Genomic DNA, 15142 nt, shown 5'->3' with positions numbered 1-15142 from the left:
ACAAATGCTAGCCTGGTTATTATTTTTGAACATGAATTAACATTTCTGTGTCTGATCGCTCTGACACTGACCAGTTTCTAAATCTAAAAAACTGAAGCAGGGCCACTGTGTTTCACAACTCCGGGGGCATCAATGCACAAGAGAACAGAGTTCTCCGGCCGCTCTGAACTGATGGCATGACCTGGTGAATTCAAGGTCACCCACCTGTGAGGTTCTTTTTGTTAGCCAATCTGTCCAGGTGAAAACTTAAGAGTCATAAACCTAAAATGTCTACCCTAGTGAGGCAGATCTCCTAAATAAGTGAGGCACAGCTTGAGTGGTGAGTTTGCCAAGAAACTATGAACGATAAGACTGTGGAGCGTAGAGCACAAGTCAAGCCTTAAATGCTTTCAAATACAGATATTTTAAGATATTCTGTCAGGCAAAAACAACAGTATAGGCAGATTTTAGGCCTGAAGCCCACCAGTTTGCAAACCCTGCAGCACCCTTTCATTCAAACCTTAAAATATTTTAACTTAGGATAATGTACATCCTGTGACCTATTTTTAACCTTTATTTTTCTTTACTGCTCTGTGACTATCCCTTCTTTTCTCCTCCCTTGGTTTCCAAAAACTTCTGTGCTCTTCTCCATACCTCTTGACACACATACCTTGAGTGGTATCATTCATTTCAACTAACATTTCAATCAGCTAAGAATTCCAGATATTTATATCCAACTCTATCAATGCTAAGAAATACCTCATGAATGGTGCCTGTCTACTTTCTCATTGCCAATGCCTTTCGTCAAGTCCTCATCTGATTTCTAGACGTTTACAATAGCTTTGGTTCATTCTATTCTCCCATTGTCCACATCCAGCCACCACTAAATCCTATTGGTTCTAACACCAATCAAACCATATCCACAATCCAACCACTTTCACCTAAACCATCATCATCTGTTACCTAAATTACCACAGCAGTTCCTTTTACTATTCATTTACCTCATTTACCATACTACTCATTTACCATATACCATAGAGGATCCTGTCCCTCCTCTGTTTAATCCCCCATTAGCTCCCAGGTCACTCAAGAGTGAAATCCAAGGTCCACACAATGGCTCACAAGGCCCTATACAATTGCCTATTACCCCTCTAATTTATTCTCTTATTATTCTCTGGCCACATCCCTTGTGTTTTCCTCAATCATACCAGGCTCATTCCTGGTCCAGGTTTTCTCTACCTCCCACTCCCTTTATATGGATGCTCTTTCCTCAAATGTCTTGGGTCTGGATTGTTGTCTTGTATCAGGGCTCTTTGCTCAAATGTTACTCTTTCATAAGTGCTTCCCTAAACACCCTCCCCACATGCACTTGACTCCCCATCTCCCTTTCTGCTTTATCACCATTGAACACATCTGTTTTTCATGTTTATTTTCTGTCTCTCCCAAGAAAATGTAAGTTTCATTACAGCAAGTTTTTTTCTTTATTGCTGTATTCCTGATCTTAGAACAATATGTATTAAGCTTCATGTTTAATGAAAATGACTGAAAAGCTTCCTAACTTGTCTTCCTTCTACTGATCTCCCCTTCTGTAGTCCACTTCCTCCTATCCCCCAGGTAGTATACCAAAAAATGCATCTGATCATTCTCCTGCTTAAAAGACTTTGATGGGATCCCCACATCCTTCGGGGTCTGGCCCCAAATTTAATCTGTTTCCCCATTCCCCAAAATAGTTGTACACTCTCCACATACTAACACTTTTATCATCCCTGAACCTACTTGTGCCATTTATCCATGCTTTTCATGTATCTCTGTATTTACTTGGCCAAAGTTTTATTCATCCTCCAGGTCTAGTTATGCCATGATGTCTCCCAGAAGCCTTCATCTGTGTACCCCCACAGCACTCAGTTCAGGCCTCCATTATAGTACTTGTGCTATACTATGTATTTACCAATCTGCTTCTGCAACTAGATTATAAGATCCCAGAGAGCAAGTTCATGATGTTGTGTCCAGAGTTCTTTTGCCAGTGTTTAACACTATACTTAGCAGAGAGGAAACACTGCAAGTCTGAAGAATGAAAATGTAATGAATGAAATTTTATAATGAATGAAATAATTTGTTTATGAGAGGTTGGGGGAAAAAAAGAGTCTTCCTAAGAGTCAGAGTGCTTTACAACATCAAACCTGAGACCTGATATGAGTTTTTACATTTGCTAAAGAAAAATTTCCTTTAGTAATTTCAACAATAGTTAAATTAGTGGATTCAGGAATCAGAAGTAAGTTAATGGCTAGTCAGGAAAGGTATTTACTCCACGGAACATACCAATTTACACACCAGATATTGTGTGGAGCAAAAAGTGTACTCCAATCTGAGAAAAGGCATCTGCAATTTTTTTAATTAAAACTGATTTAAGTGGGAAGGAAAATTGAAAATGATCTAGTGCAACTACTTCATTTCACAAATGAAAAAAATCATGAAAATGGGAAGAGCATTAACCCAAGTTAGAAGATCAGGAACAGTACCAAGGTTTTATTCAAAATGAAGGGCTCTCTCTCAAATGTAACACATTACAGTTCCAAACTACTCAAGGATTAAAGCCCAGAACTTATTCCATTACTTTGCTGTGCAAACTTAATGAAGAGTGAAGATAATATTGCAAGTAGGAAAATAATATTGCAAGACTGAAAATAATAATACCTGGGTTCTTATCTAGGTTGTATTTGTGAGATCTCAGACAATTCACTGAACCTTGTAATACTACCTTAATTAACTACCACATGGGATTAATGTGAGAATCAAATGAAAGCCCTGTTGCAAATGAAAAGTATAATCATCTTTTCCATCCTCATCCTTTCAGGTTCTCCAGTGCAGTCTCTTAGCAAGTTTTCAATCTATATGGGGGGCCATAAACCACTTGCAATTCTGACTAGTTGGAGTTTTGTTGTTCTTGTAGTACAGGACAGAAAGCTGTGAGGGAAGGGTGGGGAGGTTGTTTATGTATTATAAACCTCCTCCCAAAGGGGAGTATTATCCATATCACCTATCAATTAAAGACTCTTTGAGACTCACAAGCTCTTAAAAGGTTCATGTTGAAAAATTATCTTTTTCCCCAGTACACGCCCTACAAAACCTTTTACCATTTGTATATTTCAGAAGATTCTGTAACAATTACTTGGGTTATATTTATCTTTTCCTACTCTACTACAGATGTGTCCAAAGCAGGGACTCATAGTATTTCATCTTCAGGAGCTGTGAATTGTTTTAATTGGGTCAACATCCAGTTGAAATATAAAACTAAGTGGCTGGAGTCGTGCCTGAGAGAACTGAATGAAAAAGAACTGAACGACGAGAGACCAGAATTATACCTCCCTCTGATTTCCCCCAACTCTTTCCCCTCTATGTCTATTATATATTTCTAAAGACCTTTAGAAACTAGGCTCTGGGCTTATGCAAAAGTCCTCTACTACATTCTACATAGCCACAAGTTTATTTACAAGTATTTTTATATTAATAACATTTTATAAAATACAATGTTTTAACTCCAGGTGTGAAAATATTTAAAGGAAAGTACACTAAATGGATTTTTTTAATTATTCATTTGGCAAACAATCTTGTGCAAAATGGTCACTATATAACATGTACAAGGCCAGGCGTGGTGGCTCACGCCTGTAATCCCAACACTCTGGGAGGCTGAAATGGGAGGATGGCTGGAGCCCAGGAGTTCGAGACCAGCCTAGGCATACAGCGAGACTCTATTTCTTTAAACGAGAAAAAAATTATGCATTCTGTGAATTCCATTTACATTTAGAATCTCATTCTCATAAACAGTAATATTTTAATTTGTATTAAATCAAAGCAATTGTAAATATAAATCATAGGCTTCATTTTTTTTCCTGTATATACAATATGCCTTAATTTTTGAAAATGTTATAAAAAGAATATCCTTGGCTGGGCACAGTGGCTCATGCCTGTAATCCCAAAACTTTGGGAGGCCAAGGCTGGTGGATCACTTGAGGTTAGGAGTTCAAGACCAGCCTGTCCAACATGGTGAAACGTGGTCTCTACTAAAAATACAAAAAATTAGCCAGGTGTGGTGGCGGGTGCCTGTAATCCCAGCTACTCGGGAGGCTGAGGCAGGAGAATGGTGTGAACCTGGGAGGTGGAGCTTGCAGTGAGCTGAGATCATGCCACTGCACTACAGCCTGGGCAACAGAGCAAGACTCCATCTCAAAAATAAAATAAAATAAAATAAAAAACTGATACATTGGATAACTAAAATAAAAAATTCTGCTCATCAAAGACACTGTTAAAGCCACATTCTAAGGGAAAATATGGTCAAGAACTCATGTCTAGAACATGTAAGAACTTCACCAGCTTACAAATTTTTTAAAATCTAATTTACAAGTTGATAAAGATTTGAACAGAAACTTCACAAAAAGATACATAAGCAGCTAATGAGCACATGAAAGAGTGTTTAACATCCTCCAACCTCAGCCTCCAAGTAGCTAGGACTACAGGTTATGCGCCATCATGCCTGGCTAATTTTCAAATTTTTTTGGTAGACAACTGGTCTTACTATATAATATGTTGCCCAGGCTGGTCTCCTGGGCTGAAGCAGTCCTCCTGCCCCTACCCCTCAAAGTGCTGTGATTACAGGCGTGAATTTTCATTTAAAAGAAATTAAATTAAAAGAAATTAAAATTACAGATGTGAATTTTAATTTAAAAGAAATTAAATTAAATTAAAAGAAATTAAAATTCATGCCTGTAATCGCAGCACTTTGGGAGATAGGGGCAGGAGGACTGCTTGAGCCCAGGAGTTTGAGACCAGCCTGGGCAACATATTATAGTAAGACCTTGTCTCTGCCAAAAAAATTTAAAAATTAGCCAGGCATGATGGAGCATACCGGTAGTCCTAGCCACTTGGAGGCTGAGGTAGGAGGATGGCTTGAGCCTATGAGTTCGAGATTACAGCCAACTACGATAGCATCACTGCAGTCCGGCGTAGGCAAAAAGTGACACCCCGTCTCTTAAAAAAGAAATGAAAATGTATGTCCACGGGCCGGGCATGGTGGCTCACACCTGTAATCTCAGCACTTTGGGAGGTCAACATGGGCGGATTATTGAGGCCAGGAGTTTGAGACCAGGCTGGCCAACATGGCAAAATCCAGTCTCTACTAAAAATACAAAAATTAGCCAGGCATGGTGGCGCATACCTGTAATTCTAGCTACTGGGGAGGCTGAGGCATGAGAACTGCCTGAACTTGGGAGTCAGAGGTTGCAGTGAGCCGAGATCGTGCCACTGCACTCCAGCCTGGATGACACAGCAAGACTCTGTCCCCCTCCCCCAAAAAAAGAAAATATATATCCACAAAGACTTGCCAGTGAATTTTGGCAGTAGCTTGCTTTATTCATGACTTAAAAAAAAAAAATGGAAATAGCCTAGATATCTACCAGCAGAAGAAGGATGGATAAACAAACTATGGTATATTCATACTACTCAGCAATAAAAAAGCACAAACTACGGGTATCTGTAACAATATGAATGAATCTCAAAAGCATTATGCTGAATAAATCTTATACCAAAGATTACATACTATATTATTTTATTTACATCAAGTTCTAGAACAGGCATAACTAAGATATGGTGACAGAATTCAGATCAGTGATTGCTAGAAGAAGAGAATAAAGCTGATTAAAAACAGCAAGAGGGGCCAGGCCCAGTGGCTCATGCCTGTAATCCCAGAACTTTGGGAGGCCGAGGTGGGCAGATCACGAGGTCAGGAGTTCAAGACCAGCCTGACCAACATGGTGAAACCCTATCTCTACTAAAAATACAAAAATTGGCCAGGCGTGGTGGCGCATGCCTATAATCCCAGCTATTCAGGAGGTTGAGGCAGGAGAATAGCTTCAACCCAGGAGGTGGTGAGCCAACATCGTGCCACTGCACTCCAGCCTAGGCGATAAGGCGAGACTCCGTCTCAAAAAAAAAAAACCGCACAAGGAAATTTTATGGAGTTATAAAAATATTCTGTGTCTATATAGGAGTGTAGGTTACATGAGTGTGCATATATTAAAACTGATCAAACTGTAAACTCAAGATGTATTTCATTTTTGTAAATTACACCACAATTTAAAAAAACATATTTGGACCACTTAAGAATAACACCATGGAGGCCAGGTGCAGTGGCTCATGCCTGTAATCCCAGCACTTTGGGACACCAAGGTCAGGAAGGTCACTTGAGGTCATGAGTTGGAGACCAGCCTGGCCAACATGGTGAAACCCTGTCTCTACCAAAACTACAAAAATTAGCCGGGCATGGTGGCGGGCGCCTGTAATCCCAGCTATTCAGGAGGCTGAGACAGGAGAACTGCTTGAACCTGGGAGGCGGAGATTGCAGTGAGCTCAGATCGTGCCACTGCACTCCATCCCGGGCAACAAGAACGATACTCCGTCTCAAAAAAAAAAAAAAAAAAAAAAGGAATATACCATGGAACCTGATACGATTGAGAACCTTAATTTAAAAAACACTGCATAAAAAAGGTAAATGCTGTCATTTCAGGTGATCAGTTGATAATAAAATGTCTACAAACCCAAACTGAAATCATGCAGTAATACATACATTAATTTTTGGATAATCATTAAAGACCATAGAAAATGTAACAGATCCTACTCTTCAAAATAATTGCTATTCAGTATTAAAATAAATAAAGTGAAAGGTGTTGGAAAGATAGAGGAATTGATAGGAATACCACAGAAGTGGAAGAATAGTATGAATATCCATAAATTAATTTATATTAGCAAGAAATAATAATGCTTACATCATCAGATCCAGTCTCAGAAGGCCTTGCTTTTTTGGGTGCAATGACAGGGGAAAGTGATCCTTCAAAGTCAAACTGAAAAGTAACCCCAAAAGAAAAGATAAAAATCATAAATGCATTCCTGTCAACTGATCAACTTAAAGGATTCGGAAATCAGTTCTGCCAATTATGAAAACTGAGAAAAGCCATCAAAACTCATTTTTTGATCTGGAAAGTCATTATTTAAATATCTTTCTTCCAGGTTACTGTAAAGATGAAATGAAATCATATTAATATATGCAAACATCTAGAACAGTGCCTGGGCTCCTAAGGACTGATTTTAATGGTAGTTTCCTTCCCTCTCCTACTTCTGTAACGACATAGATTACATCACATCTTTGGTAGAAAAAGAAACTTTAGGCATATCCACAATATACCAAGTCTCAAAGGATCAACCCAATATCAGTCAAATGTTAGAACTAAGCAAACATTTATTTACAGTCCACCTACAGTAAACTATCTAACAATTCTATGGCAGAGACAAGTAGCTACTCTGGAAAATCTTTTTTCTCCTCTTTCTACTGAACCCACAGCCAGACTACATACATACGTCTGCCTCCTTTGAAGTTAGGTGTGACCCTTTGACAGAGTTAATTATAAATGGAAGTCACTGTCATCACTTCCAGGACCAGTCCAGTCCTACCCCTGCTCCTCCAGGCTCTTTGCCCCTTCCACCTGACTGGAATGCAGTCAACCAACGGCAAGCTTTGAACCGAAGACAAAAGATCCTCCATCAACCTGGGTTCCTGAATAACTGTGTGGCCTGTTTATCTGCTAAGCCCTGTTATGTAAACAAGACAGACATTTTTATTGTGTTTGAGCCATTGTATCTTTTGAGGCCTTTCTATTACAATAGTGAGCCTATCTTTTAACTAGTACAACTACATCAAAGCAGTTTTCTGCAAGTTGCTCTTCTTCAATTTCCCCTGGCATAATCTTTGCTGCCCCAGCTACTTCACATGGACATTGACCATCAACTAATAAACTGTAACTCTATAAATGGCAATGGCTATTTTCCTATGCTGAAAAACTTACATATTTATCAACTCACTCACCTAAACAGAGTTGATTTCTATATAAAAACTAAACATAGGTAGCAATAAAGTGATTTTTAAAACCGAATGTTATTGAGAGAGAAGATTTGCTTGTGAAGCATTCAAATAAAAAACAGCCCAACTCATATATATTATAAAAAACCTGGTAGTAACAGTGAAATCAAAGCAACAAATATAACAGTAACTATCTAACCTAAAACTTCAACCAAAATGTAACACACACAAAGTCCCACAGTCAAAAAGAATGTCCCTGCTATAATTATCAGATTCATAAGGCCTGGAGTTATGAGAAAGTAGAAACTGCCTGATAAGGATGGCTCTTTGTGCCATACATGGATCTGTTTAATCTTCACTCTTTCAATGTGTCTCAGGTTAGCCAACCCTGTTATATGCTCCTATGGACCCTTACCCTTCATCTATCATAACACATGTATCAAATATTATTTATTTGTTTCCCTCAAGACAGTCAATTCCAGAGGAACAATCTGTTTTGTCTGGGGTATATGTGAGAAACCTGGCATCATGCCTGGCCCACAGCAGGGATTCAATATTTATCTAATGAAAAAAAGAGCAGCCCAAAAGCCACAAAAAGTTAACCCCAAATGCAACTGTTCCTACAATGTACAGTCCAGTGCACTCATGTAACACATCAGCAAATTAAAGAAAGCACAAAGAAATGCCAAAAATTGTGTAACGAGTCATTGGCAGAAATTCTGTACTCCACCACATTATATATGTGAAAACAAAAAGAATAAATCTGAACAAAGCAAAATGAAAACCATTTGCCAATGAGGACCATTTCATCCTAAGCTTTGACTATGAGGACAAAAGATAGCAAGGGTTTAACCACGCAGTCCTATAAATAAATGGCAAAGCAACTTGGCCTCAAGAATTGATTTCCTTATTCCTTCCTTTATAATTATCATGCAATAAGTAAGTCAAAGAGCCATGTCCTTCTTTGCAAAGGAAAAAATGGGTAGGTGCTCAGTCCTCCCCAAAACATGGAAACGCGAGGGGGCATAGGTTCTCTGCCAGAGACTAGGACACAACAATCTGTACTCATCAACAAGTTCCAAGGACAATGATACACAAAACTACAGAAAGCTGACATGCTTTTTCATAATGTAGAAATCCAGTTTCTATGAGGCTTAATCTTTTCACATGTAATAAAGAACAGAAAAATTGAGGATAATGTCACTTGGATACAATTGTTTAAAATTAGAAAAGAAGGCCAGGAGCCATGGTTCACACCTGTAATCCTAGCACTTTGGGAGGCCAAGGTGGGAGGATCACTTGAGCTCAGGAGTTTGAAACCAGCATAGCCCACATGGCAAAACCCCGTCTCTACTAAAAATACAGAAATTAGCCAGGCGTGGAGGTGCATGCCTGTAATCCCAGCTACTCAGGAGGCTGAGGCACAAGAATCGCTTCAACTTAGGAGGCAGAGGTTGTAATGAGCCAGGATAACGCCACTGCATTCCAGCCTAGACGACAGAGCAAAACCCCGTCTTAAAAAAGGAAAGAAAAGAAAAGAAAATTGTCCCTATTTTCCCATAAGATTTTTCTCAAGGAAATTGCAGACAGCAATTCCTTCATGTGCTGAAATAGACACAAACTCTTAAAAACAGTATCTCACTCAGATGGAAAATGGCATTCACTCAACAAATGTTCACTGAGTATCCTTCTATGCCAGGCAATACCACAGGTCCTGGAGAGAGAGAGTAGTAAACAAAACTAAGCAAAAATCTTTGCCTTCCTAGAATTTACATTCCAGTTGGGGGAGGAGGGACACAAAACAAAATAAGTAAAACATACAGTATATTATATTTAATTAAGTGAGAAGAAAGAAAAACAGGTAAATGGCACTAAAGGTATGGAGGCAGGTGTAATTCTATAGAGAGAGACAGGACAGGCAGCACTGAGGTGACATCTGAATAAAGACCTAAGCACGTCTTGTCGGAGGGAAAGCATTCTCCATAGAGGTAATGGCAAGTGCAAACACTCAGAGGCAGAAACATGCTGGCAGTGCTCAGGGAACAGAGCTGAGGCCAATGTGGCCGGGATGATGTGTGCAAAGCATTAAGAAATAAGACCAGGAAGGTGAGCAAGGGCTAGGTCACATGGCACCTTATAAGCCTATGGCCTTTACTCTGAGTGACATGGGAAGTCACTGGGGGATTCTACGCAGAGGCGTGACGAACGCTACCTGACGTTATCAAACAGGATTACTTTGGCCACTGGTCTGAGAAGAGACTGGAACATAGACAAAGGACATGAAATACGAATCAAAAAATAAGAACTATAAATAACTGATGAAATTTTGAAAAAACCATTCCCATTTACTTATAGAGAAATAAGATAAAATTTCTCAGGAAGCTGGCAAAGGTTCACCACACCACAAATAAACACTGTGGTGAAATGGGCGCTTTTAAATGATGCTAGTAAGAATGTCACCTGGGAACCCCTTTCCAAACATTACTTGACCTCACAGTTTCTCTTTTAAGATTCAATTCTTGGGAAGTAACTAGAGATGTGGTTAAAGAGTCGTGAAAAAGGATGTTTATAAATTCCAATAACGAAAACAACAGATTCACAAGGTACAATTATTAGCTATTGGTTAATTATGATAAAACTACACTATGAAGAAATGATGGAGATATTTTAGAAAAAATTTTTAATGATAACGGGAAATTTTCATTGGTATTTTTATATAGAAGGTAACATCAAAAATATTTAGAGTGGTTATCTCTGAGTAGTATAATTATTTTCTTAATTCCTCCATTTTCCACATTTTCCTTTCATAATTAAGACAAAAAACAAGTTTTAAAAATGGATTTGCTGGCCAGGCACGGTGGCTCACACCTGTAATCCCAGCACTTTGGGAGGCTGAGACGGGCAGATCACGAGGTCAGGAGATCGAGACCATCCTGGCTAACATGGTGAAACCCCATCTCTACTAAAAACACAAAAAATTAGCCGGGCGTGGTGGCGGGCGCCTGTAGTCCCGGCTACTCGGGAGGCTGAGGCAGGAAAATGGCATGAACCCAGGAGGCAGAGCCTGTAGTGAGCTGAGATTGCGCCATTGCACTCCAGCCTAGGTGACAGAGCAACATTCTGTCTCAAAAAAAAAAAAAAAAAAAAAAAAGATTTGGTGTGCAAGGCTAAAACATATAGAATGGTACAGCTGAGCTACCTGGAAAAGGGGTAATTATAGTCTAGAGTGATTTTTTTTCAGAGTGACCCAGGCAAAGTTGTCCTGGGAGTGATCTCCAAAGCTAGAAGGAGATCACCAATACTGAAGACACCACTCTGCTGATTTTGTAAATAATCTAATAAGGGCCTGTAAGGATGTTACTGGGGGAAGAGGGTGAGAGGTAAGGCCTTATACCATTAACAGAGTAGATGGTATAAGTACAGAGTAGATGGTATAGTACTCGGCTAAAGTACTTTAAATCTCCCTCAAATCAAACCTTCCTCTTCACATCCTAAGCAATATGTGTGTAAAAAGACAATCTTATCTTCAGAAAACAATGTTAAACAAGGAGTCAGAAGATGCAGTCTAGTCATAGTTTTTAAAAAATCACAGATCTGTGATTTCTTTGTGATCCAGTTTCTTCATCAATAAAACCAAGACTATCACTAATCCTAGCATAACTTGCAGTCATTTTACAAAGGTGAAATGAGAAATAGTCATATATGCTTTAACATTCTAAAGCTCAGTAATTATAATCACTAGTAAAATGTTAACATTAAATATTAAGTGAGATTTGATTTACAACATATAGATACAATAAACCTTAATATTATTCTATTATTTTGAATATGGTACGCCTATTATATAGTCTCAATGTTATATTACCAATTATGCAACCATTACATTAACAGAATAACTCATAAAGAAAACAATTGTATTTACTTACATTTCTAGTCCATGCTAAGCGGTCTGTGTTAAAACCCATCACGTTCATGAGACAAGTCACAAATAAATTCCACTCTGAGTGATAACTGGGTCCTCCTGGAGCACTGTGGACATTGTACCACTTGACAAGCATCTGAACTGCTATTTCTTTTGGCAGGATAAACTTAATTGTTTGCAAACACGTTTGTACTATTAAAAGCAAAGATTAATTTTAGTATTCTTACTCTGCATGCATTTCTTTTCCCCTTTCAATAACCAAGTTTCTTTAACTTCTACTATGTAAAGGCCAATTATTATGAAAAGAAAACTGTCATTAAAGAGCCAATGAGATGCAAACATTACCTAACCCATCATCTGAAACTAAAACCAACTACTGAATTCAACAGGGCTTGAAAGGGGTCTGAAGACAGCTTTTTTTTTTTTTTTTTTTTGAGAGGGTGTCTCGCTCTGTTGCCCAGGCTGGAGTGCTGTGGCGCAGTCTTGGCACACTGCAACTTCTGCCTCCTGAGTTCAAGAGATTCTCCTGCCTCAGCCACCAAGTAGCCGGGATTACAGGCGTCTGCCACTGCCCCAGGCTAATTTTTGTATTTTTAGTAGAGACCATGTTTCACCATGTTGGCCAGGCTGGTCTCAAACTCCTGACCTCATGATCCACCTGCCTTGGCCTCCCAAAGCACTGGGATTACAGGTGTGAGCCACTGTGCCCGGCCAAGGACAGCTTTTTGATCATTAATTTTGCATCAGAAATAAAGTAACCAAATAGCCCAGTTTGCCAGAGACAGTCCTGATTTACATCCATTGCCTAGCAATTACTAACTGCTCCCCTTCACTCTTAAAGATGTTCTAGCTCGGGTGACAAATTAAAAGTCACTATGGGCCAGGCATGGTGACTCACGCCTGTAATCTAAGCACTTTGCGAGGTCAAGGCGGGTGGATCACCTGAGGTCAGGAGTTCGAAACCAGCCTGACCAACATGGTGAAACCCCATTTCTACTAAAAATACAAAAATTAGTTGGGCATTGTGGCAGGCACCTGTAATCCCAGCTACTCAGGAGGCTGAGGCAGGAGAATCGCCTGAACCCGGGAGGCAGAGGTTGCAGTGAGCCAAGATCACGCCATTGCACTCCAGCCTGGATGACTACAGCAAAACTGTCTCAAAAAAAAAAAAGTCACTATGAAAAACATACAACTTCTATGTTTATACATTTATATAAAATACTGCCTACATACTTCAGTAAATATATAATATTCAATATATGCATCCACGAATAGCAATGCTTAGCTAGCATTACATGATGTTCTAAATGACTTAACATGCCTATTAACCAAAGCTTTATAACTTTATTTCTGATGTCGTTCAGTTTCTAAAATGTTTCACATGCTCTCTGCCTTAAAAGGGTTAAGAGTTGATACCACATAATTTACACCATTCTTTTTTTGGTAAGCGGAAACAGGGTCTTCCTCTGTCCCCAGGCTGGAGTGCAGTGGTGCAATTATAGCTCACTGTCACCTCCAGCTCCTGGGCTCAAGTGGTCCACCAGCTCAAGCTTCCCAAGTAGCAAGGACTACAGATGCATGCCAGCATGCCTGGCTGATTTTATTTTTCTTTCTGTAGAGACCGAGTCTCACTATGTTGTCCAAGCTGGTCTCAAACTCCTGGCCTCAAGCAATCCCCTCACCTCAGCCTTCCAAAGGGAGGGGATTACAAGCACGAGCCCACCACACCTGGCCTTATACCATTCTCAGTGGCTCCACATCAATTATAGCACTACACTGTCATACAATGATCCCCTCAGAGTGGCCAGGGCTACCACTGTGAAGAGACCCAAATCTGCTTTTAGTAGTAAATAATCCCAAACTGCAATGTTTGTGTACTCACATATCCTCTCTTCCAGGATTCTTTTTTCCCTTTCCACTGTCATGCCACTGGGCCCACCCTCATCAGCATATCCTCTATCCCGTCAGTTTGCAATATGCAAACTCACACAGCACAGGTTGGAAGCAAATAATATTAAAATACCATATAACCAAGTATGTCATAGCTGAATCCAAAATAAGTGTAAACCCAATGCTGCATGAGTGTGTGAGAACCCTTTGCAGGTAAAGTACATAAACTTATGTGCATAAACTATGGGGCTTCTATTTGGCTATAAAGGGGTAAGATTTTTTGTTTTTATTTATTTAATTTCTTCCATTATTATTTGTTTTTATATATTTTGCTTAGGCTTATCATACTTCTAGGTACCTGGCCTTGTGATTACGAAATACCTTTTAGAAGGCAAGGAATCTCTATAGCAACTTGGAATACCATTTACCAGCAGTGAAAATTCCTAAAATGAAAAAGTTATTCTTGTCTACAATCTGCCAATGTCTTGCCTAACCCTAACCCTAACCCTAACTCTATCACCTAGGCTGGAGTGCAGTGGCACGATCTTGGCTCACCGCAACCTCCGCATTCTGGGTTCAAGCAATTCTCCTGCCTCAGACTCCCAAGTAGCTGAGATTACAGAAGTGCACCACCACACCCCGCTGATTTTTGTATTTTCAGTAGAGAAAGGGTTTCACCACGTTGGCCAGGCTGGTCTCGAACGACCGACCTCAAGCGATCCACCTGCCTCAGTCTCACAAAATGTTGGGATTACAGGTGTGAGCCACCATGCCCAGCAGGCATGTCCATATATTATTATACTGCACAATATTCCCCAACAGAAGTACCTTAGGCCAGGCCGCCGCCGCCGCCGCCGCCCGGCCAGGTCGAGGCCGCCGCCTCCGCCGCCGCCCGGCCAGGTCGAGGCCGCCGCCGCCGCCGCCGCCGCCGCCGCCGCCGCCGCCCGGCCAGGTCGAGGCCGCCGCCGCCGCCGCCGCCGCCGCCGCCGCCGCCCGTCCAGGTGGAGGCCGCCGCCGCCGCCGCCCGGCCAGGTCGAGGCCGCCGCCGCCGCCGCCGCCGCCGCCGCCGCCCGGCCAGGTCGAGGCCGCCGCCGCCGCCGCCGCCGCCGCCCGGCCAGGTCGAGGCCGCCGCCGCCGCCGCCGCCGCCCGGCCAGGTCGAGGCCGCCGCCGCCGCCGCCGCCCGGCCAGGTCGAGGCCAAGGCCGAGGCCGAGGCCGAGGCCGCCGCCGCCGCCGCCGCCGCCGCCGCCCGGCCAGGCCGAGGCCGCCGCCGCCGCCGCCGCCGCCGCCGCCGCAGCCCGGCCAGGCCGAGGCCGAGGCCGCCGCCGCCGCCGCCGCCGCCGCCGCCGCCGCCGCCGCCGCCGCCGCCGCCGCCCGGCCAGGTCGAGGCCGCCGCCGCCGCCGCCGCCGCCGCCCGGCCAGGTCGAGGCCGCCGCCGCCGCCGCC

General features: G+C 41.7%; 1 protein-coding gene across 9 annotated transcripts in view; it reads right to left on the bottom strand.

Moving 5' to 3' along the window:
• Positions 1-15142, bottom strand: part of RGPD1 (RANBP2 like and GRIP domain containing 1) — a 100318-nt gene that overhangs the window by 84487 nt on the left and 689 nt on the right. For 6 of the 9 annotated variants that reach the window (XR_007074605.1, XR_007074622.1, XM_011532852.4 and 3 more), the window contains exons 1-2: positions 11812-11875; positions 6798-6872 (exon numbers count right to left, since the gene is read on the bottom strand). The exons of 1 other annotated variant lie outside the window; for it this stretch is intronic. Coding sequence is in view for 6 of the 8 variants with exons in the window: in XM_011532852.4 (XP_011531154.2) it covers positions 6798-6872; positions 11812-11859 (123 nt within the window). In the remaining 2 variants the exon portion in view is untranslated. Of the gene's footprint in view, positions 1-6797; positions 6873-11811; positions 12000-14525; positions 14542-15142 lie in introns of those variants that run through there. 2 more of the 9 variants (XM_011532845.4, NM_001024457.4) reach the window with 2 other exon arrangements.

This window comes from Homo sapiens, chromosome 2, assembly GCF_000001405.40.
Source record: "Homo sapiens chromosome 2, GRCh38.p14 Primary Assembly".
In the NCBI taxonomy this organism is placed as follows: domain Eukaryota; kingdom Metazoa; phylum Chordata; class Mammalia; order Primates; family Hominidae; genus Homo; species Homo sapiens.
The sequence above is the reverse complement of the archived record's forward strand: the minus strand, read 5'-3'. Positions and strand labels throughout refer to the sequence as shown.